Source organism: Homo sapiens, chromosome 7 (assembly GCF_000001405.40).
Source record: "Homo sapiens chromosome 7, GRCh38.p14 Primary Assembly".
Lineage (NCBI taxonomy): Eukaryota > Metazoa > Chordata > Mammalia > Primates > Hominidae > Homo > Homo sapiens.
Genome location: NC_000007.14, coordinates 66,696,838 through 66,721,883, shown reverse-complemented (window position 1 = coordinate 66,721,883; position 25,046 = coordinate 66,696,838). Strand labels below are relative to the sequence as shown.

Sequence of the window (25,046 nt, the reverse complement as noted above, 5' to 3'; positions counted from 1 at the left end):
CCACCCCACTTGGCCAAAAACTTTCTGTTTCAAAGCACCAAGGAAGTAAAAAGACAAACCACCTAAATTTGTGTTTTGAGTAGAGACGGGGTTCTACCACGTTGGCCAAGCTGGTCTCAAACTGCCAAGCTCAAGAGATCTGCCCGCCTTGGCCTCCCAAAGTGCTGGGATTAGAGTCGTGAGCCACTGGACCCAGCCTAAATTAAGGATCTTGAGGTGGAGAAATTATCCTGGATTATCTGGATAGGTCCCACTGCAAAGTTTCTCATAAGGGGGGAGGCAGGAGGGTCAGAGTCAGAAAAAGAGATGTGATAATGGAAGCAGAGATAAGTGCCAGAGCAAAGGGGGTGGAATTTGATGATGCTGCACTGTTGCATTTAATGATGGAGGAAGAGGCCATGAGCCAAGGAACTCAGGCAGCACCTAGAAGTGAAAAAAGGCAAGCATCTCCCCCAAGAGCCTCCAGAAGGCGAATCTGTGACATCTTGATTTCAGACAGACTGACTTTGGACTTCTGACTTCCAGGACTGTATGGCAATAAATTTGTATTAAGTCACTATATGGCATATGTTAGAGTAGCAGTAAGACACTAATATACATGTCTCTTATTAAATTTATTCCTAGGTATTTTGATTTTTAAACACTATTATTAATGGCTTTCTTTTGGCCGGGCACAGTGGCTCATGCCTGTAATCCCAGCACTTTGGGAGGCCGAGGCCGGCAGATCACTTGAGCTCGGGAGTTCGAGAGCAGCCTGGCCAACCTGGTGAAACCCCATCCCTACTAAATATACAAAAATTAGCCGGGCGTGGTGACGTGCGCCTGTGATCCTAGCTACTCTGGAGGTTTCAGGCAGGAGAATCACTTGAACCTGGGAAGTGGAGGTTGCAGTGAGCTAAGATTGTGCCACTGCACTCAAGCTTGGGCGACAGAGTAAGACTCTGTCTCAAATAACAACAATAATAATAATAATGGCTTTGTTTTTAAAATTTCAGTTCCCATTGTTTGAGCTAGCATATGGAAATTCAATTGACACTTGGTTCTGCTAACTTATTAGTTCTAGTAGCTTATTTCATATCTCCTGGGACTTTCTATACAGATGATCATGTTGTCTGCAATAAGAACAGTGTTACTTCCTCCTTTCCAGTTGGTATGTCTTTTACTTTTTCTTCTTTTATTATTGCACAAGCTTGAACCTCTAGTACTATGCTAAATGCAAGCAGCAAGAGTGGACATGCTTGCCTTGTTTCTAATCTTAGGGAGAAACAATTCATACTTTATCCATTAAAATATTAGCTTTAAGTTTTTGTAGCTGTATTTTTTCTGGTTGAGATAGTTCCCTTTTATATTTAGTTTGCTGATTTTTTTTTTTTTTAATTATCAGTGGGGTGGGCACAGTAGCTCGTGCCTGTAATCCTAGCACTTTAGGAGGCTGAGGTGAGTGGATCGCTTGAGGCTAGGAGTTCGAGACCAGCCTGGCCAACATGGCGAAACCCCGTCTCTACTAAAAATACAAAAATTAGTTGGGCGTGGTGGTGCATGCCTGTAGTCCTAGCTACTGGGGTGGCTGAGGCACGAGAATTTCTTGAGCCTGGGAGGCAGAGGTTACAGTGAGCCGAGATCGCGCCACTGCACTCCAACCCGGGCAATGGAACAAGACTCACCCTCTCAAAGAAAAAAAAAAAAAAATAATAATAATAATAATAATAATAATGAATGGATGTTGAATGTTGTCAAATGCTTCTTTTCTGCAAGTATTGAGATGATCCTGCCATTTTAAACCTTTCTTCTGTTAATATATTGCATTACATTGACTTATTTTTGTTTTTGTTGTTAAAGCAACATTGTATTTCTGGGACGCATTTCACTTGATCTTGATATTTTATCTCTTTTATTTATTGGGTTTGATTTGCTAATCTTTCTAAAGCATTTTTGCATCTTTTTCCATGAAGACTGCTGGTCCACATCAGGGACCAGCAAACCTTGTTCTGTAAAGTCAGTAAATATGTGAGGCTTTGCAGGCCATATAACTTCTGCTATAACTACTCAACCCTACTACTGTAACAGGAAAACAGGAAAAGACAGTATGTAATTTAATAAATGTGGCTATGTTTCAATAAAACTTTATCTACAGAAACAAATCATAGTCTGGTTTGGCCCCACAAGCCATGGTTTGCTGACTCCTGGTCTATTTGTTAGGTGTTTGGTTTTGGTATCAGAGTTAACACTGGCCTCATAAAATTACTTGGGAAGTATTGTCTTCTATGTTTTCTAAAAGTTTTTGTGGGATTCATATTACTCCCTCCTTAATTATTTGAAAGGATTTACCAGTCAAGCCATCTGGATCTGAAATTTTTATCAGAAAGATTTACATAAAAAAAATTTTGGCCAGGCATGGTGGCTCATGCCTGTAATCCCAGCACACTGCGGGGGGCCGAGGTGCTTGAGGCCAGGAGTTTGAAACTAGCCTAGGCAACATAGCAAGACCCCATCTCTACAAAATATATATAAAAATTAGCTGGGCTTGGTGGCGTGCACCTATGGTTCCCAACTACTCAGGAGGCTAAGATGGTAAACCAGGTACAGACAGAAGGAGCTCTAAGAGAAGCTCTCCATTTGTGGTTCAGACTGCGAAAGGAGGCCCCTACAGGTCAGGAAGAATGGAGACAGCCCCAGTTTGTTTTTTGTGATGTTGTTTTTGTTGGTTGGTTGGTTTTTGGTGTTAATTGCCGTTCCCTACTGTCCCAGCTTCTAGGCAATCACATGACATGGTGAGACAAGCAAAAGCAGTTGGGTAACCACCAAATGCTCTGCGAGGGAACACTTCTCTCAAGAGTCTGTGGCCCCAAGAGTGCTGGAGGGATTCCTGTTGCTGTCTTTCTCTCTATGCTCTTGCCACTTGGCACTGAAGAAAGATGCAGTCGTAAGAAGTATGTGGCAGAGCAGAGAAACTGAAGCCCTGGCTTTAGAGTTAAAGGACTAGGGAGGGGCCCTTGGGAGCTGAAAAGTGTCAGTGAAATTGATGAGAAGAGGGAGCTTGAGATGACAATTTGATTAACAATTTATATAAACTCTTCAGCTCACCCCTGAGCTGCATGTGTGTGCATTTGATCCTAAACAGCACAGGCTTTGAGAAAGAAATTACAGGATGGACCACTCCCCAGGTTCCAGGCTGGCCACTGCGTGGTACATACTCAGGACATATCTGAATACTGCGAAGTATTTGGGAACTAAACTGACATTGTAACCACAGCTCACGGAGTGCAGGTAGGAAGTTGCAGCTTGAACCTAACCAAATCCATTGCCTATTTTTTTTTTATAAATTAAACTTCTCCATAGAATTTAACCACGTAACACTATGTTTGAGACATCCAAAACACAATTCAAAATTATCCAATATATAAAGAACTAGGGAAATCTAAACATCTTACATGGAAAAAGATAATTAACAGATGCCAACCCCAAGATGGCACAGATGTTGGAATTACCAAACCAGGATTTTAAAGCAGCTATTTAACTATTTTTCTTCTTCATTTTTAGACAGAGTCTTGCTCTGTCACCCAGGCTGGAGTGTGCAGTGGCATGTTCTCAGCTCACTGCAACCTCTGCCTCCCAGGTTCAAGCAATCCTCCCACCTCAGCCTCCTGAGTAGCTGGGATTACAGATGTGCACCACCACGCCTAATATTTTTTTGTATTTTTTGTAGAGAGACAGGGTTTCACCATGTTGGCCAGGCTGGTCTCGAACTCCTGGCCTCAGGTGATCTGCCCGCTTCAGCCTCCCAAAGTGCTGGGCCACCATGCCTGGCCTACCTATTTAACTAGTTTTCTAAGGGAGAATATTTTTTAAATGAATGGAATGATAGAAACCCTCAGCAGGAAAATAGAAGATACAAAAAAGAACCAAATAGATATTTTAGAACTGATAATATACAATTACTGAGTTTTAAAATTAACTCAATGAGTTCAGTAACAGAATGTGCATGACCGAAGAAAGAGCTAGTAGACTTGAAAACAGGTTTTAAAATGTTATCTGGTGGCTCAAGCCTGTAATCCCAGCACTTTGGGAGGCCAAGGCGAGTGGATCACTTAAGCCCAGGAATTTGAGACCAGCCTGGCCAACAGAGCAAAACCCTATCTCTGAAAAATACAAAAAAATTAGATGGGCATGGTGGTGTGCACCTTTAGTCTCAGCTACTTGGGAGGCTGAGATGGGAAGATCTCCTGAGCCTGGGGAGGTCAAGGCTGTAGTGAGCTGTGATTGTACTACTGCACTCCAGCCTGGGTGACACTAGAGACGGGGTTTCACCATACTGGCCAGGCTGGTCTTGAACTCCTGTCCTCAGGTGATCCACTGCCTCGGCCTCCCAAAGTGCTGGGATTACAGGTGTGAGCCACCACGCCCTGGCCTAAAATACATATGATTATTGAAAGCAAAAGATGTAATATTGTCTAATAAGTATTTTAAAAATAAGCTTTATTTTTTAGAACAGTTTCAGATTCTAATGGAATTTCAATGTTTATAGATGCAATACATATGATAACTACAACATAGTAAGGACAGGGGAAAGGAACCTACATGATAGCCAGGTTCCTACATTTTACAAGTGGTAAAATATTAATTCTAAGCAGAAAGTAAAAAGTTTGGTGTACATACTGTAATTCTTAGAGCCACCACTAAAGAACACTACACAAAGAGATATAATAAAATAATCAATTGATAAATTAAAATTGAATACTAAGCAATAGTCAAATAACCCAAAAGAAGGCAGGAAAGGAAACAGTGAGGCATAAAAAACAGAGAGCAGCCACATGCAGTGGCTCACGCCTGTAATCCCAGCACTTTGGGAGGCTGAGGCGGGCGGATCACCTGAGGCCAGGAGTTTGAGACTAGCCTGGCCAACATGGCGAAACCCCGTCTCTACTAAAAATACAAAACTTAGTGGGGTATGGCAGTGGTCGCCTGTAGTGCCAGCTACTCAGGAGGCTGAGGCACAAGGATCACTTGAGCCTGGGAGACAGAGCTTGTGGTGAACCGAGATTGCACCACTGCACTCCAGCCCGGGCAACAGAGCAAGACCTTGTCTCCTGTCTCAAACAAACAAAAGAGAGCAAACAGAAAATAACAAAATGATAGACCTAAATCCAAGTACATCAACAATAACAATGAATGTAAATGGTCTATTCACACCAACTAAAAGACAATGACAGAAGAGTTTTTTTTAAAAAAAGACATGACTATACATTTTGTTGCTGCTGTTTTATTTATTTATTTATTTATTCTGAGACAGAGTCTTGCTCTTTCACTCAGCCTGGAGTGCAGTGGTGCCATCTTGGCTCACTGCAACCTCTGCCTCCCAGGTTCAAGCGATCCTCATGCCTCAGCCTCCTGAGTAGCTAGGACTACAGGCACATGCCGCCACACCTAGCTAATTTTTTGCATTTTTGGTAGAGACAGGTTTTCGTCACGTTGCCCAGGCTGGTCTCAAACTCCTGGCCTCAAGTGATCTGCTTGCCTCGGCCTCCCAAAGTGCTGGGATTACACGCATGAGCCGCTGCACCTGGCCTGACTATATATTTTAATATAGGTAGATTATAAGTTTAAAAATGGAAAAAGATATGTTACGTAAATGCTGGTCAAAGGAAAACTGAACTGATTATATTTACATAAGACAAACTATACCTCAAAGCAAGGAAATTTACAATAGATTAAGAGGGACATTACATAATGGTAAAGACCCAACACCATTTAAAATGTGTACACATCTAAAAACAGACCTCAAATATATACAGCAAAACTGACAGAACTTGAGGAGAAATAGACAAACTCAAAATTATAGTTGGACTCTTCAAGAATGGACAGAACAGATAGAAAATCAGCTAGGATATGGAACTAAACACAATCATAAACCAACTAATATTGATAAAACACTCCATCCACAACTGTAGTCTTTTTGAAGGCACATAGCCAGGCATGATGGCACATGCCTGCAATCCCAGCTATTCAGGAGGCGGAGGCACAAGGAGCACCTGAACCCAGGAGTTGGAGACTGTAGTGCACTATGATTGTGCTGGGAATAGCCACTGCACTCCAGCTTAGGTAACACAGCCGAGACCCATCTCTAAAAAAAAAAGCATATAGAACATTCACTAAGATTATGTCCTTGGTCACAAAATAAACCCCTAACAACTGTTTGTAATTTAAAATTATATAAACGATGCTTTCTGATCATACAATTTAACTAGAAGTCAATAATAGAACACTAAAAAATATTCAAATGCCTAGAAATTAACTACATACTTCTACATAATCCTGGGTGAAACAGGAAGTCTCCAGGGAAGTAGAAAATATTTTAATTTGAATGAAAATGAAAATAGAACATGTCAAAACTTACACGATGCCGCCAAATTAAAGGGGAATTTATGTAATGAAATGATTATATTAGAAAAGAAGAGGCGGGCACAGAGGCCCACACCTATAATCCCAACATGTTGGGAGGCCAAGGTGAAAGGATTGCTTGAGGCTAGGAGTTCAAGATTAGCCTAGGTAACATAATGAGACACGGTATCTACAAAAATTTTTTTAAAAATTAGCCTGGTATGGTGGCACATACCTGTAGTCCCAGCTACTCGGGAGACTAAAGCAGGAGAATCACTTGAGCCCATGAGTTTGAGGATGCAGTGAGCTAGGATCCTGTCATGGTACTCCAGCCTAGGTGATAGAGTGAGACCCTGTCTCAGGAGAAGAAGAAAGAAGAAAGGAAGAGGAGGAGTTGGAGGAGGAGGAGAGGAGAAGGAGGAGAAAGAGAAAGAGAAGGAAAAAGAGAAAGAGAAGGAGAAGAAGTAGTGAAGAAGAAAGAGGAGGAAGAAGAAGAGGAGGAGGAGGAGGACGACGAAAGTTTTCTAATCGATAACCTAAATTTCTGTTTTTTGTTTTGTTTTGTTTTTTTGAGACGGAGTCTCGCTCTGTCGCCCAGGCTGGAGTGCAGTGGCAGGATCTTGGCTCACTACAAGCTCCGCCTCCCGGGTTCACACCATTCTCCTGCCTCAGCCTCTCGAGTAGCTGGAACTACAGGAGCCAGCCACCATGCCCGGCTAATTTTTTGTATTTTTAGTAGAGACAGGGTTTCACCATGTTAGCCAGGATGGTCATGATCTCCTGACCTCATGATCCGCCCGCCTGGGCCTCCCAAAGTGCTGGGATTACAGGCATGAGCCACTGCGCCTGGCCCTAAATTTCTGTTTTAAGAAACTATAAAAAGAGTAAAATCAACCCAAGGTAAGCACAAAGAAGGAAGTAACAAAGGTAAGAGCAGCAACCAATGAAACTGAAAACAATAGAGAAATCAATTAAATCAAAAGCTGATTCTTTGAAAAGATGTGTAAAATTCCCAAACCTCTAGCCAAATAACAAAAAAAGAGAGAAAAGAAAGGAAACGAGACATAAATTATCAATATTGGGAATGAAATACGTGATATCACTACAAATTCTACAAATGTTAGAAGGATAATAAGGGGATATTATGAACAAGTCTATATCATAAATTTAACAATGTAGATGAAATGAACCAATTTCTGAAAAACCACAAACTACCAAAACTCACACAAGGTAAAACAGAGAATGGGAATAGTCCCATACTATTAACGAAATTGAATTTGTTGTTAAAAAACCTTTCAAGAGGAAATCTCAAGGCCTAGATAATTTCTCCAGATAATTCTTACCAAAGATTTAAAACAGAAAAAACACCAATTCTACACAATTGTTTCCAGAAAATAGGGAAATGAACACTTCCAAAATTGTTGTATAAAGCCAACATTACCTTTACATCAAAACTAGACTATGGTAGTACAAAAACAGAAGTCTACACAGACCAATAGTCTCTATGAACATAGACCAAAAAAACTCAAAAAAAGTAGCAAACAGAATGCACCAATATATAAAACAGTAATAAATCACAACCAGGCAGTTTTATATCAGCAATGCAAGGCTGGTTCAATATCTGAAATCAATCAATGCAGTGTATGTTATTAACAGAAGAAAAACATACCAACACATTGATCAATGTATCCATTTCTTAAAATAATCAATATATCAATATGATCATATCAACGTATCAATGTATCATATGCAGAAAAAGCATTTGAGAAGATTCAACATCCATGCTAAATAAAAACTCTTTTCAAAATAGGAATAAAGGGGAACTTCCTCAACCTGATAAAGGACATCTCCAAAAATCCAGAGCTAAAGTCATACTTCAAGACTGAATGTGTTCACCCAAGTTAAGGTACAAGATAAGGATGTTCATTCTCATCGCTCCTGTTCAACATTGTACTGGAAGACCAAAGTAGGGCAATAAGGCAAGAAAAGAAATAAAGAGCATACAGATAGAAGAGGAAGAATCAAAATTGTCCCTACCCAAAACTCCTGATTGTCTCCATAGAAAATCCCACAGGTTGGGCTAGACGCAGTGGCTCAAGCCTGTAATCCCAGCACTTTGGAGGGCCAAGGCGGGCCGATCACGAGGTCAGGAGATTGAGACCACAGCGAAACCCATCTCTACTAAAAATACAAAAAATTAGCTGGGCATGGTGGCGGGCACCTGTAGTCCCACCTACTCGGGAGGCTGAGGCAGAAGAATGGCATGAACCCGGGAAGCAGAGCTTGCGGTGAGCTGAGATCGCACCACTGCACTCCAGCCTGGGCGACAGAGGGAGACTACGTCTCAAAAAAAAAAAAAAAGAAAAGAAAAGAAAAAAAGAAAATCCCAAGGGCTGGGTGTGGTGATTCATGCCTATAATCCCAGCACTTTGGGAAGCTGAGGCAGGAGGATCGCTTGAGCCCAGGAGTTCGAGACCAGCCCTATCAACAAAGCAAGACCCCATCTCTACAAAATATAAAATAAAATTAGCCAAGTGTAGTGGCACACCTGTAGTCCCAGCTATTTGGGAGGCTGAGGTGGGAGGATGACTTGAACCTGGGAGGTCAAGGCTGCAGTGAGCTGTGTTTGCACTATGGCACTCCAGCCTGGGTGACTAAGCAAGACCCTGTCAAAAAAAAAAAGGAAAGGAAATGAAAAAGAAAAAGAAAAATCTCAAGAAATCTTCAGAAAGAGGCTGGGTGCAGTGGCTCACGCCTATAATCCCAGCACTTTGGGAGGCCAAGGTGGGTGGATCCCTTGAGCCTGGGAATTCAAGATCCAATCTGGGTAACATGGTGAAACCCTGTCTCTACCAACGATACAAAAAATTGGCTGGGTGAGGTGGTGCACACCTATAGTCTCAGCTACTCAGGAGGCTGAGGTGCGAGGATCCCTTCAGCCCGGGAGGTCGAGGCTGCAGTGGGCTGTGATCACGACACTGCACTCCAGCCTGGGGAACAAAGTGAGAGCCAGTCTCAAGAAAAAGAAAAAAAGATATCTGCAGAAAGAAAAATATTTAAAACTATAAATAAGTTTGTAAAGGTTGCAACATAGAATTGTGTATTTATGTGCTAGCAACAAAAGATTAGAAACTGAAATTTTAAAACTGCTATTTATAAAACACCAAAACAACGAAGTACATAGGTATAAAATTAGCAAAACGTGCAAAATATTTATGCTAGAAATGTCAAAATGCTTTTAAAAGGAATCTAGAAAGACCTAAATAAATGAAGAGGCATACCATGTTCACAGATTAGAAGACTTGATACAGGTTGGATGTCACTGCTTCCCAAAGTGATCTGTAGATTTAACAAAACACAGATCAAAATCTGAGCAGGATTTTTGTAGACATATGCAAGCTGGTTGTAAAATGTATATGTAAATGCAAAGGAATTAGAATAGCCAAAGCAAATTTGAATAAGAATAAAGTTGGAGGACTCACATTACCTGAATTTAGGACTTACTATAAGTAATTAAGTAATTGCTATAGTAATTAAGACAGTGTAGTATTGGCAATGAGACACAGGTCAACACCATGGAATGAAATAGAATACATCAATGCAAAAGAATAGAGTATACAGTCCGGGTGCAGTGGCTCACACCTGTAATCCCAGCACTCTGGGAGGCCGAGGCGGGCAGATCATGAGGTCAGGAGATCAAGACCATCCTGGCTAACATGGTGAAACTCCGTCTCTACTAAAAATACAAAAAATTAGCCGGGCATGGTGTCAGGCACCTGTAGTTCCAGCTACTCGGGAGGCTGAGGCAGGACAATGGCTTGAACCCAGGAGGCGGAGCTTGCAGCGAGCCGAGATTGTGCCACTGCATCCCAGCCTGGGTGACAGAGCAAGACTCCATCTCAAAAAAAAAAAGAAAAGAATAGAGTATACAAATAGACCCACAGAAATACAGCCAACAGATTTTTGACAAAACTGCAAAGACATTTCAATGGAGTAAGGATAATCTTTATAACAAATGGTGCTGGAATATTGGATATTGTTTGGCAAAAATAAGTGAACTTCAACCTAACCTCACAGCTTATGCAAAAAAAAAAAAAAAATTAGCACAAAAAGATCTCAGATCTAAATGTAAGACTAAAACTTTAAGAAGAAAACATCGAAAAAAATATTGTGACATTAGGTTAGGCAAATAATTAGGTTAGGCAAAGAGTTCTTAGATACAACATCAAAACCACAATTTGCAAAATAAAAGATTAATTGGATTTCATTAAAATGTTAAACATCTGTTCTCTGAAAGATTACTATTAAAATGAAAAGACAAGCTACAGAAAGAAAAAAATATTTTTTTAAGATGGTCTTACTCTGTCAACCGGGCTGGAGTGCAGTGGTGCAATCACAGCTCACTGCAGCCTCAACTTCCTGGGCTCAAGTGATCCTTCCACCTCAGCCTCCTGAGTAGCTGGGACTACAGGTACACGCCATCATACCTGGCTAAGTTTTTTTATTTCCTTTATTATTTTTTTTTTGTAGTGACAGGGTCTCGCTATGTTGCCCAGGCTGGTCTCAAACTCCTGGCCTCAAGTGATCCTCCTGTCTTGGCCTCCCAAAATGGTGGGATTACAGGTGATCCTCCTGTCTTGGCCTCCCAAAATGGTGCGATTACAGGTATGAACCACTGTGCTCAGCCCCAAGAAAGAAAATCTTTAAAGAACATATACCCAACAAAAGACTTGTATCTAATATATAAAGAATTATTAAAACTCAACAGTCTATTTCCCCAACTTGCTCAGGCAAAATAGGAGGAAAATTAAACAGACATTTCTCCAAAGAAGACAAAACAGGTATGGTATATGAACAAATGCTTTATATCATTGGTCATTAGTGAATGCTACTTAAAACCATAAGAGGATACCACTAAACACCTCCTTAGAATGGCTAAAATTAAAAGGGCTGATCATATAAGTGCTGACAAAGATATAAAATGACTGGAACTCTCATACAATGCTAGAGGGAGCGCAAAATGGTACAACCACTTTGGAAAACAGTTTAGCAGTTTCTTAAAAGATTAAATATATACCTACCAGATGACAGCATTCCACTGCTGGGTTATTTACTGAAGAAAAATGAAAGCATGTGTCCATACAAACACTATTATCTGGATGCCTATAGCATCTTTACTGGTAAAAGCTAAACGCTAAAAAACAACCTAAATGTCCATCAACAAGATGAACGGATTAAAAAATTGTGGTATATCCAATCAATGGGGTAATACTTAGCAATAAAAAGGAATGAACTATTGATACACATAACATGCATGAATCTTAGAACAATTATGCTGAATGAAAGATGCCAAAAAGAGTATATAGTAAATGATTTCATTTATATGAAATTCTAGAACTGTGTGGTGCAATGTAGAAGGTACCAGTCACGTGGCTGCTGACTACTTGATAGGTGGGCTAGTGCAAAAGAACTTTCAAATTTTACTTAATTTAAAATTAAAAATGAAAGCAAAATAAAATATTTTCTCCACTAAACAACTTTATTGTTTTGGTAGAACTGCATTTCATGACTGTGTTAATTAATGTTACTTTTGCATTGTGGTGTGAGGGTTGGGTATACCCAATTGTTTCTAGTATTACCTCCTAGGTGTACATGACACTTAGACATCTAGTCAAAATCAATGACCTGATTTAACTGGAATATTTGCTTTCTTTCTTTTTTCTTTTCTTTGACATGGAGTTTTGCTCTTGTCACCCAGGCTGGAGTGCAGTGGCTTGATCTTGGTTCACTGCAACCTCCACCTCCCAGGTTCAAGCGATTCTCCTGCCTCAGGCTCCTGAGTAGGTGGGATTACAAGATGCCTGGCTAATTTCGTATTTTTAGTAGAGACAGGGTTTCACCATGTTGGTCAGGCTGGTCTCTAACTCCTGAACTCCTGATCTGCCCACCTCGGACTCACAAAGTGCTGGGATTACAGGTGTGAGCCCTGCGCCCAGCCTCAATTTGAATATTTTCTATGGTACCACTGTAATACTGTAATATGTATACTGATTTGAATATTTTATGTAGATAGCACTAGTTATAGTGATGCTTATGTACACTGTAATGGGTAGGAAAATTACAATACTCTTATTTCCATTATGATTTAATTAATTCATTTTTGCAGTTTAAAAAACAATTACAGATGCATTTTAAAATTTAAAACAGGCAGAGCACGATGGCTCACACCTATAATCCCAGCACTCTGGGAAGGCAGATCACCTGAGGTCAGGATTTCGAGACCAGCCTGAACAACATGGTGAAACTCCATTTCTACTAAAAATACAAAAATTAGCCGGGCATGGTGGTGGGTGCCTGTAATCCCAGCTACTTGGGCAGGAGAATTGCTTGAACCCAGAAGGCAGAGGTTGTAGTGAGCCGAGATTGTGCCATTGCGCTCTAGCCTGGGCGACATGAGTGAAACTCTTGTCTCACCAAAACAAAAAAAAAAAATTAAAATAAGGTCATACTACTGATGCAGAATCAAGTAGAGAGGCATAACAGGAAAGAAAAAAAAGACTGAAAGAAGGCATATTGCATATTTCTTTTTTTCCCTATCCCCCTCCCATCACAAATTTCATGATAAATAACAATTTGGCTGTATTAGAGCAAAACAAAACAAAACCTATTTTTCTGTTGTTGTAAATTTTTTTTCGAGACAGGGTCTTGCTCTGTCACCCAGGCTAGAGTACAGTGGTACAATCATACCTCACTGCAACCTCAACCTCCTGGGCCCAGGAGATCCTCCCACCTCAGCCTCCTGAGTAGCTGGGAACACAGGCGTGTGCCATCATGCCTGGATACTTTTTAAAATTATTTTATTTTTGTAGAGATGGAGTCTCCCTATGTTGCCCAAGCTGGTCTCAAACTCCTGGGCTGGCCAGGGGCGGTGGCTCACGCCTGTAATCCTAGCACTTTGGGAGGTAGAGGTGGACGGATCACTTGAGGTCAGGAGTTCGAAGCCAGCCTGACCCAACATGGTGAAACCCCGTCTCTACTAAAAATACAAAAATTAGCCAGGCATGGTGGTGCAAGCCTAGAATCCCAGCTACTTGGGAGGCTGGGGCAGGAGAATCACTTGAACCCAGGAAGCGAAGGTTGCAGTGAGCCAAGATTGCGCCACTGCACTCCAGCTTGGGCAAATTGGAGTGAGACCCTGTCTCAAAAGAAAAAATTAGGAAAAAAAAAAAACCCAAACTACATGGCTATAAACAAAGATGTTAATTGTTATCCCAGGGCAAACACAAAGAACTAAAAAATATATAGTAAAAGTAACAACAAGGAATTAAAATGGTGTACTAGAGAGTATCTACAGAACATAAAAGGAGGGCTATAATGGAAGAACCAAGGAATAAAAAGGCAAATGGCATATAGACTGGGAGAAGTAAATCCTTATGATTAATTACATTAAATTAAATGGGTTAAAGTCTCTAACTAAAAGGCACAGATTGGCAGAATGGATTAAAAAACACAAATAGGTTGAAAGTAAAAGGATGCAAAAATATTCCATGCAGAAAGTAACCAAAAGAGAGCTAGAGTGGCTATATTAATGTCAGAAAAAAATTGGCTTTAAGACAAAAAAAATGTTACTAGAGACAAAGAAGGACATTATAGAATGATAAAAGGGTCAATCCTTCAAGAAGATATAACATTTGTAAGCCTATATGCACCGAAAAACAGAGCCTCAAAGTACATGAAGTAAAAACTGCAGTAATTGGAGGGAAGATAAACAATACACCAATAATATTTAGCCACTTCAATACTCTTTTTGTTGTTGTTGAGATGGAGTCTTGCTCTTTTGCCCAGTCTGGAGTGCAGTGGTGCAGTCTCGGCTCACTGCAACTTCCACCTCCCAGGTTCAAGCAATTTTCCTGCCTCAGCCTCCCGAGTAGCTGGGATTACAGGTGTGTGCCACCACGACTGGCTGGTTTTTGCATTTTTAGTAGAGACAGGGTTTCCCCATATTGGCCAGGCTGGTCTCGAACTCCTGAGGTGATCTGCCTGCCTTGGCCTCTCAAAGTGCTGGGATTGCAGGTGTGAGCCATCATGCCTGGCCTTCATTTTTAATAATAAAGAGAACAACTAGATATCAGATCAGAAAAAAAACAGAATGTATGCCAACCAGACCTAACGAACATCTATAGAACATCCTACCCAACAACAATATGATACACATTCTTCTGAAGTACACATGAAACATTCTCCACTATAAATTATATGCTAGGCCATAAAATATGTCTTAATAAATTGTTAAAATCTGAAGTAATTCAAAATACGTTTTCTGACCACAATGGAATGAAATCAGAAATTAATAACAAAGATATTTGGAAAACTCACAAATAAGTGGAAACTAATCAACATACTTCAAAAATAACCAGTACGGGCCGGGCGCGGTGGCTCACGCCTATAATCCCAGCACTTTGGGAGGCCGAGGCGGGTGGATCACGAGGCCAGGAGATCGAGACCATCCTGGCTAACATGGTGAAACCCCGTCTCTACTAAAAATACCAAAAAAAAATTAGCCAGGCGTGGTCGTGGGCGCCTGTAGTCCCAGCTACTCGGGAGGCTGAGGCAGGAGAATGGCGTGAACCCGGGAGGCAGAGCTTGCAGTGAGCTGAGATCGCGAAACTGCAGTCCAGCCTGGGCGACAGAGCAAGACTCCCTCTCAAAAAAAAAAAAAAAAAAAAACCAGTATGTCAAAGAAGAAGGTAAATTAGAAAAATCATAAGGTAAATTAGAAAATATTTTGAGTCAGCTAGGCGCGGTGGCTCACACCTGTAATCCTAGCACTTTGGGAGGCCGAGGCGGGCGGATCATGAGGTCAGGTCAGGAGATCGAGACCATCCTGGCTAACATGGTGAAATCCCGTCTCTACTAAAAATACAAAAAATTAGCCGGGCGTGGTGGCACACACCTGTAGTCCCAGCTACTCAGAAGGCTGAGGCAGGAGAATCGCTTGAACCCGGGAGGCAAAGGGTGCAGTAAGCAGAGATCACACCACTGCACTCCAGCCTGGGGACGGAGCGAGACTCCGTCTAAAAACAAAATAGTACAGCCACTTTGGAAAACAGTTTGGCGGGTTTTTAAAAACTAAAATACATACCTATCGTACGACCTAGTCACTTCATTCCTAGGTATCGCATAAGAGAAATGAAAGTATATGTTCATACTAAGACATGTATAAAAATGTTCATATCAGTTTTATTTATAATATCCAAAGATGGAAACAACCCAAGCGTCCATCAAAAGAATGAATGAATAAACAGGCCGGGCACGGTGGCTCATGTCTATAATCCCAGGACTTTGCGAGGCCGAGGCGGGTGGATCATGAGGTCAGGAGATCGAGACCATCCTGGCTAACAAGGTGAAACCCCGTCTCTACTAAAAATACAAAAAATTAGCCGGGCGCGGTGGCGGGCGCCTGTAGTCCCAGCTACTCGGGAGGCTGAGGCAGGAGAATGGCGTGAACCCGGGAAGCGGAGCTTGCAGTGAGCCGAGATTGCGCCACTGCAGCCCGCAGTCCGGCCTGGGCGACAAAGCGAGACTCCGTCTCAAAAAAAAAAAAAAAAAAAAAAAAAAAAAAAAAAAAATTAGCTGGGTGTGGTGGTGTGTGCCCATAATCTCAGTTACTCAGGAGGCTGAGACAGGAGAATTGTTTGAACCCAGGAGGTGGAGGTTGCAGTGAGCTGAGATCACACCATTGCACTCCAGCATGGGCAACAGAGCAAGACTCCGTCTCAAAAACAAAACAAAAAAAAACAAAAAAAAAAACACTTGTATCTATCAAACTGAAAGTGCTTGAAGTAACATAAAAAAGGTAGATATAATTTTCTTTCTTAATTTTGATGGCTCTAAAAGATAATTGAAGCAATTATAGCAAGGTTGCAGGACATAAAGCTATATATAGAAGTCTACTGCTTTTCTCCATTTTTCTTCCTCCTCTTCCTCCTCCTCCTCTGCTTCCTCCCCCTCCCCCCTCCTCTCTCTCTCTCTCTCTCTCTCTCTCTCTCTCTCTCTCTCTCTTTCTTTCGAGATGGAGTTTCGCTCTGTTGCCCAGGCTGGAGTGCAGTGGTGCAATCTCAGCTCACTGCAACCTTTGCCTCCTGGGTTCAAGTGATTCTCCTGCCTCAGCCTCCCTAGTAGGTGGGATTTCATTTTTGGGAGAGCTAAAATGTTCATTTTTGGGACAGGCATGCACTGCCACACCCAGCTAATTTTTTGCATTTTTAGTACAGACGGGGTTTTACCATGTTGGCCAAGCTTGTTTCGAACTCCTGACCTCAAATGATATGCCTGCCTCGGCCTCCCAAAGTGTTGGGTTTACAGGCATGAGCCACCGCGCCCGGCCATCTATTGCTTTTCCATATATCAGCAAGGAACAAATAGAATTTGAAGTGAAAAATACATTCCCATTTACATCAGCTCTCCCAAAAATGAAATACTTAGGTATACATGTAACAAAACATGTACAAGAATCCTCATCTATTGCTGGTGGGAATGCAAATTGGTATAGCCATTTTGGAAGACAGTTTGGTGGTTTCTTAAAAAACTAAATATAGGCCAGCTGCAAGGCCTAGTGAAAAGTTTTCTCTGCACATGAAGTAGCATATTACTTGAAGATACACGTTGGTTATTTAAACTTTTTTTTTTTTTTTTGAGACGGAGTCTCACTTTGTCACCCAGGCTGGAGTGCAGTGGCACAATCTCGGCTCACTGCAAACTCCGCCTCCTGGGTTCACACCATTCTCCTGCTTCAGCCTCCTGAGTAGATGGGACTACAGGCGCCCACCACCACGCCCGGCTAATTTGTTTGTATTTTTAGTAGAGATGGGGTTTCACAGTGTTAGCCAGGATGGTCTCGATCTCCTGACCTCGTGATCCACCCGCCTCGGCCTCCCAAAGTGCTGGGATTACAGGTGTGAGCCACCGCACCTGGCCGACTATTTAAACATTTTAATTGTAACCCCTCATATGTAGCTGGTGGGAATGTAAAATGATACAACCACTTGGGAAAATAGATAGGCAGTTTTAAAATAAGGCATACAGAGTGATGTCACTGAAAATAGCAGAGTAAGGACCTCCAGAAATCCATCAGTCCATTAAAGCAATAATTAAGCTGGCAAAAAGTGTCAGATTCAAGTTTTCTGGAACTCTGAAATTTTTTTAAAAACCTGCAACAACTAAAAGAGTGGTTAATTAAGAAATAACCTGTTAAATTTTGGTTAGGAGAATGTTGCAACTTTTCACTTAGTGCCTACAGTCTCCCACTGTCAACCTTAGAGGTGGCTGTGGTGGTGACAGTTTGTGCCCCCAGTGTGGCTTGCTAGTGCCAGATGGGGATAATAAAGAACTCTGTTCTATACACTTGCAATAACAATTCAAAAATAAAATTAAGAAAGCCATTCTATGTGCAATAGCTTCAAAATCAATAAAACACTTAGGAATAAATTGAACAAAGGAGGTGCAAGACTTGTGTGCTGAAAAGTACACAACATTGTTGAAAGAGATTAAAGAAAGCCTAAATAAATGGGAAAGCGTCCCATGTTCATAGACTGGAAAACAGTATTGTTAAGATGGCAATACCCATCAAAATGATCTACAGATTCAGTGCAATCCCTATCAAAATTCCTACTGCCATTTTTCACAGAAATGGACAAGTTTATCCTAAAGTTCAAATGCAAATGCAATGAATCTCAGCCAAAAACAGTCTTGAAAAAGAACAAAGTTGGAGGACTCAAATTTCCCAATTTCAAAACTTACTTACAAAGCTACAGTAATTAAGACCTCATGATACTGCCATAAGGACAGACATATAGACCAATGAAATAGAGTTCCAGAAAAAAAAAGCCAATACATCTATTGTCAACTGATTTCCGAAAAAGGTGTCAAGATCATTCAATGGGGGAAAGAATAGTCTCTTCAACAAATGGTGCTGAGACAACTGGATGTCCACATGCCAAAAAATAAAGTTAGACCTTTACCCCACCTCATGTATCTTTACCTGACATCATAATTCAAAATGGATAAAAGACCTAACTGTGAGAGCTAAAATTGTAGAATTCTTAGAAGAAAACAGAGGTAAATCTCCAAGACCTGGGATTTGGCAATGATTTTCTAGATATGATACCAAAAGTACAAGCAACAAAAGAAAAAATAGATAGGTTGAACTTCATCCAAATAAAAAACTTACATACAGGCCAGGCACGGTGGCTCATACCTGTAATCCCAGCACTTTGGGAGGCCAAGGCGGGCGGGCACGAGGTCAGGAGATGAGACCATTCTGTAACACGGTGAAACCCCATTTCTACTAAAAACTACAAAAAAAATTAGCCAGGCATGGTAGCGGGCGCCTATAGTCCCAACTACTTGGGAGGCTGAGGCAGGAGAATGGAGTGAACCCAGGAGGCAGAGCTTGCAGTAAGTTGAGATAGCACCACTGCCCTCCAGCCTGGGCGGCGACAGAGCGAGACTCCTTCTCAAAAACAAACAAACAAAAAAACTTAGATACATTAAAAGACACTATCAAAAAAGTGAAAATAAACCCTACAGAATGACAGAAAATATTTGCAAGTCATATTGCTAATAAGGATCTAGTTTCCAGAATATATAAAAAACTCTCAAAACTGAACAACAAAAAGACAAACAACCCAATGAAAATATTGACAAAAGACTTGAATAGACATTTCTATAAGGAAAAAATACAAATTGGCAAAAAGCACATGAAAATCTGTTCAACATCATTAATCATTAGTGAAATGTAAGTGAAAACCACAATAAGACACCACTTCATACCCATGAAGATGACTATAATCAAAAAATGAAAGATAAATTTTGTTGAGGGTCTGGAGAAATCGGAGTTCTCATATGTTGCTGGTGGGAATCCAAAATGGTGCAGCCTCCGTGAAAAACAGTGTGGCAGCTCCTCAAAAAGCATAGAATTGCCCTGTGACCCAGTATTTCCACTCCTAGATATATACCCAAGAGAACTGAAAACATGAGTTCACACAAAAACTTGTAGATGAAGGTTCACAGAGGTACTATTCAAAATACCCAAAAGTCAGACCCTAAAGGAGCTGACACACACACACACACACACACACACACACACACACACACACAAACAAAACAATAGCCAGAAGGTGGAAGCCACCCAAATATCCACCAATGGATGAATGGATAAACAAATTGTGGTCTATCCATACAATGAAATATTATCCAACCCTAAAGAGGAATGAAATTTTGATACATTCTGCAAAGTGCATGAACCTTGAAAACATTATGCCAAGTGAAAAAAGCTAAACACAAAAAGTGACCTACTGTTGATTCTATTAATATGAATATCCAAATAGGCAAATCCATATAGACAGAAAGTGGATTAGTGATTGTCAGGGCTGGGAAAATGGGAGATTGGGGAGTGACAGCTTAATGGGTATTGGATGCCCTGCCCTTTTTGAGTTGATGGTAGTGATGATATTTGCACAATATTGTGGATGTACTTAATGCCACTGAATTTTACATTTGAAAATGGTTAAGATGATCCGTTTTATGTCATGTATACTTAACCACAATTTTTAAAAACAGTCATCAATAAAAAAATTAATAAACAAACCACAGACTTATAAGAAAATAGTCACAAACCATATATCTGATAAAGAACTTGTATCCAGAATCTATAAATAGCTCCTACAAATCAATATAAATGAGGCTGAGGTGGGTGGATCCCTGAGGTCGTGAGTTCAAGACCAGCCTGGCCAACATGGTGAAACCTTGTATTTACTAAAAATACAAAAATTAGCTGGGGGTGGTGGCAGGCACCTGTAATCCCAGCTACTTGGGTGGCTGAGGCAGGAGAATTGCTTGAACCCAGGAGGTGGAGGTTACAGTGAGCTGAGACTACACCATTGCACTCCAGCCTGGGCAAGAAGGGCGAAACTCTGTCTCAAAAAATTAAAAAAAAAAAAAAAAAAAGAGTCAGAGTCTCGCTCTGTCCTCCAGGCTGGAGTGTGCTGGTACAATCACAGCTCCCTGCAGCCTCAACCTCCTGGGCTCAGATCCTCCCATCTCAGCCTCCCTAGTAGCTGGGGCTACTGGTGTGCGCCACCATGCCTGGCTAATTTTTTAAATTTTTTTGCAGAGGTGGAGGTCTCGCTATGTTGCCTAGGCTAGTCTCAAGCGCCTGGGCTCAAGCCATCTTCTTGCCTCAGCCTCTGAAAGCGTGGAGATTACAGGCCTGAGCTACTGTGCCCAGCCTCCCTGTTACTTCTCGGATGAAATCCTGCCCTGTTGGTGACACTTTCCAGGCTATGGATGGCAGTGCCTGTCTACCCCTCCAGTCCTTCTTCCTATCATACCTGCCACACGGCTGCTCACAAACAGTCCCCACCCCTGCCCCACTGCCAGGCCTCTATCTAGCCTCTTCCTCATTCAAGCCCAGCTGGAGGGTCAGGCTCCCTCCTCCAGGACGGCTTCCTTGGGCTGCAAGACAGCGCTGCCCACCACACTGAACTGACTCACAATGGCTCTCTGCCACCCCAGAGCAAACCCAGGGAGGGGCCTCTGCAACCCTGCCCCACAGTATGAGAGTCTGGACAGGGCCAGCAGCCCGCATCCCACTGGCCTGGGCCGCTGGGGCCTTTGCAGAGATGTCCTCAGAGAGTGTCCAGGCCTCGGGCCATTCTGTCTTGGAGTTCCCAAGGCCCTGGATGGAAAGAGACAAGGCAGAGTGGTCAGCCCCAGGCAGGTGGGAGGTCAGAGGGCACGGCTTAGGGTGGGTGGTGTGAAGAGAGCTGAGTGGCAGAAGTGTGACCAGGGAGGGAAAGCCTGGGCCCCCTGCTACGCACGAACCCCTTTTCTCCATTGAGCTCCCTTCCACACCCCTAAGCCCCTTTACTCCTCCTCACTGTCCCAGCTAATTGAGCTGTACCCTCTTACTAAGTCCCCTCCCCCAACTCCCCTTTCCCCTCCCCTACCTCCCCCTCCGGGGCCCGCTTGGCCCTCAGTCCCTTGGCTCCAGGTCCTGGGGCTGTGGCCTTTTCCCAGGATCTGACCTGGAGTCAAACACTTTCCGGGGAGACCTCTAGTCACTCCCTCATCCATGGCATGTCAGGAACGCAACCCTACACAGGCAGGACCCCTTCAAGGCGAAAGAGGAGCTCAGGCCGATGGACTTTTAAGGACTGAGCAGAGAGCAAGCTCCGGCCCAGTAGGGCTGTCCTCTGGATCTGGCCCCATCGCAGTGGGGCTTGGCTGGGTGCCCTGGTAGGGAGAGATCTCAGTGCTTGGATCCAGAATGAACCAGGGCTGGAATGTGCAGGGTCTGGCTGGGCCTCCGTCCCTCCCTTCACCCAAGCCTCAGTGATGCTCAGGGCTGAGGACTCTTGTCCCTCTCCAGCAGGGGCTCTGGGCCAGGAACTTGGGGGTCCCTGGTTTGCACTGCCTCCCCTGAGTTGGGGTCTCTGGGTGCTCCTCAGAGGAGCCCGGAGAGGATGAAGATAACTGTGCCCACATTTGCTGTTCCCATCTGACAGGGACAGGCTCTTTCCTGCCTTAGCCCATGTCATTCTCCAATGGCCCTGGGTTTGCTATCATTCCCATTTTATTTTTATTTTATTTTTGAGACAGGGTCTCTCTCTGTCACTCAGGTTGAAGTGGAGTGGCATGACTTTGGCTCACTGCAGCCTCAACCTCCTGGGTTCAAGTGATCCTCCTGCCTCAGCCTCCCGAGTAGCTGGGACTACAAGTGCACACTACCACACCAGTTTTGTTTTTTTTTTTTGAGATGGAATTTTGCTCTGTCACCAAGGTTGGAGTGCAGTGGCACGATCCCAGCTCACCAAAACCTCCTCTTCCCAGGTTCAAGTGATTCTTCTGCCTCAGCCTCCCGAGTAGCTAAGATTACAGGTGCCTGCCACGACGCTCGGCTAATTTTTTGTATTTTTAGTAGAGACGGGGTTTCACCACGTTGGCCAGGCTGGTCTCGAACTCCCGACCTCAGGTGGTCCATCCGCCTCGACCTCCCAAAGTGCTGGGATTACAGGTGTGAGCCACTGCACCCAGCCACTCCCATTTTACAGATGAGAAAACTGAGGCTTGGAGAGATTCAATACCTTGCCCAATGCCTTATATCTGGTGAAAGGCAAAGACAGGATTCAAATCCAGTCCTTTGTCTCCCGGTCTAGGGGAACAGAGAATGAGGCAGAAAAAGAAGAATGTATGCCCCGTGCCCCCCATTCCTCCTGGGCTGGACATGGGTCCCTAGCTCTCCCTGGAGAGGGGCTCTAGCCAGGTGCTCAAGCCAGAGCTCGGGGGAGAGAATGGACCCACGAGGAAACCCAGAGGGGCCTGGAATTCGCCTCCCCACAGGTTACCAAGGCCAACCCTCCCAAGGCCAGCCAGATATCTCCCCGCTCCTCCATGCGGCTCTGTCTCAGTGACTTCCCAGAGGTCCCAGCGCTGCATGTGGGACTGAAGGACGGGCTGGACTCAGCTTTGTTGCTTCCTGCACCTTGGCCCTGCAGTCACCGGAGTTACTTGTGACCAGCCAAGGGGAAAGAGCACACCATGGAACCCCCTGCTGTAGGTGTCCCTGTCCCCATTTTCCAGATGAGGAAAACCGAGGTTAGAAAGGTGGAGGAGTACCAGGGTGGAGTCAGGAGTGAAACTCCCGTGGGTCTGACACAAAGCTGGAGCCCTGGGTGGCAGAGTCAGACCCACCCACACTGAGACTCAGAGACCCAGGTCTGGGGTGATGACTGCTTGGGGACAGCACCTTGGAGCCCTGGAGGAGGGGGACAATGCATTTTCACAGGGGATCACCGCAGCCTTGCAGGGAGTGGGGAGAGCTGCCACCAGCAGAGGCTAAACTGCTGCCTCTGCCCTGAGCAAACCTGGCCCCTCCCTGCCCAGAGACCCTGCTCCAAAATCACCTCCCCTCACCCATCGTCCAGACCCGGGCTCCTGCTCCAAACCAAGGAACTGTTTGCGCCTGACCTAGAAATAACGGATTCCTCTGGGCCCAGGTGAGCCCATGGTGGGTGGGGACCTTGCACTCTCCTCTGACTCTCTTTCGTGGGCTGCCCACTTTGATGATCCAGTCCTCTCTTGTCACCCCTGATGGGGAGACAGGCCTTGCCCTGGGGGTTCTGATCAGAGGGAGGAGGTAGAGCTCTGGCTGGGAACCATGGTCTAAGGGGCATGGCCCTAGCCTGGGACGCTGGCCTTGCTGTGCATGCACTGGTGAGGCTCAGGACACTTGGTTTTAGGGAGACATAGTCTTGCTCTGAAATGATGGTCTAATGCGGGAGGCACAGCCTTATCCTGGGAGCTCCAGGTTTATCCTGAAGTACTGGTCTGAGGGTGGGGGGGGTGCGTGGCTGTGATGGGGAATTTGGGGAGCTGGGGTGGGCAGCGGGAGGGAGTGGCTGGAGGCTGCTGACTTCTCTGTTCCTTGGCTGTTTGGGAGCTGGCTTCAAACTCCTGGCCCAGCCTAGGTAGTGGGGATGGAGAGGGCCGGGCTTCCCAATAAGGAAGAGGCTCATGGAGGGAAATAGGATCAGGGGTTTGAGGTGAGCAGCCTCACTTGCTCTCGGACTCCTGGACCTTTTTTCCCTGGACATGAAGCAGGTGGCAGCCTTCCTCCGATGGCCCCACCGCAGTTCTGCTGAGTCCCAGACGTGACCTCAGTTTATGGGGTGATGTTCCCTCCCTGGCCAGCCTAGCGGCCACTTCAAACATGAACACCCCCCACCTCGCTGAGGCCGGAGAACACAGTCTGCGCCTCCCCCAGCCCCAGCTACCCCCGCCCTGCTAATCCTCAGTGAATGGTGAGGCCAAGAATATCCTGCCTACTCTGGCAGGCAGGCAAGCCACGAAGCCTGCTGGAAGGGCATGAATCATGGTCCCCGCCTGCCAAGTGCTCACTTGGGATGTGTTCGAGGCTGGCCGTGCCCAGAGTTGACAGGGAGAAGGGAAGGGAGGGGAGCTGGCGGCTGGGATGGGCAGACAGAGCCACTGTGAAGGGAGAGACGTCGGTTTGACCCATCCCTGGTGGCAACACAGAAATTATGTTATAGAATGTCAGGATCCTGGAATCCCCAAGTATGGACTTTTCTGTGTTCTGCAGGCCTGAAATGCAAGACTTGTGAGACGCCACGCTGCAAGCCCCCTACAGCACATGGAGGCTGAGGCCCCATTCTCCAGGTGGGGAAGTAGAGGCTCTTGGGGCAGAGAGGTCGGCTCTGGGTCTCTTATTGAATCCAAGGTAGGGCTGGGCTGGAGCCCAGGCCTCCTCTTGCCTTCTGGACGGAGGTTCTTCCCAGCCCCTCTCACTCCTGCTCTGCACCCCCTCCACCCTCACCACCATGACTGTGCTTCCTGGTTGACACAGAGGGAAGATGGACCTGTGCCCAGCAGTAGGGTCCCCTGGGGCATGGGGTCAGGGGTGCCTCCTTCTGCAGTCCTCTCTCTGCTCCACGCACATTGGCTGCACCATGGAGACTCCCATGTATCTTGCTCCCCATCCCCCATGGCCAGCTGTTCTTCCCCTTCCTGCATCCACCATCACCAAGGGAACCTGCACCATGTCTGGGCCTGCTCCTGTCATCTGTGCCCAATAACTTGCTTATTCAGAA

The 25,046-nt window shown here is 44.2% G+C and overlaps 1 protein-coding gene across 19 annotated transcripts in view, besides 1 other annotated feature; it reads right to left on the bottom strand.

The window, feature by feature from the left end:
• RABGEF1 (RAB guanine nucleotide exchange factor 1) overlaps positions 1-25,046 on the bottom strand; it is a 156,898-nt gene that overhangs the window by 89,581 nt on the left and 42,271 nt on the right. For 6 of the 19 annotated variants that reach the window (NM_001367726.1, NM_001367752.1, NM_001367737.1 and 3 more), the window contains exon 2: positions 21,035-21,115. The exons of 6 other annotated variants lie outside the window; for them this stretch is intronic. The gene's annotated coding sequence lies outside the window, so the exon portion shown is untranslated. Of the gene's footprint in view, positions 1-8,415; positions 8,557-9,659; positions 9,718-21,034; positions 21,116-25,046 lie in introns of all 19 variants that reach the window. 7 more of the 19 variants (NM_001367725.1, NM_001367746.1, NM_001367732.1 and 4 more) reach the window with 3 other exon arrangements.
• Positions 24,481-24,982: an enhancer, noted in NCBI's record as "H3K4me1 hESC enhancer chr7:66161889-66162390 (GRCh37/hg19 assembly coordinates)". NCBI's record gives its function as "activates a minimal SCP1, AML or CMV promoter by ChIP-STARR-seq in primed H9 embryonic stem cells {active_cell/tissue: H9 hESC(primed)}" and the evidence as "EXISTENCE:reporter gene assay evidence [ECO:0000049][PMID:30033119]".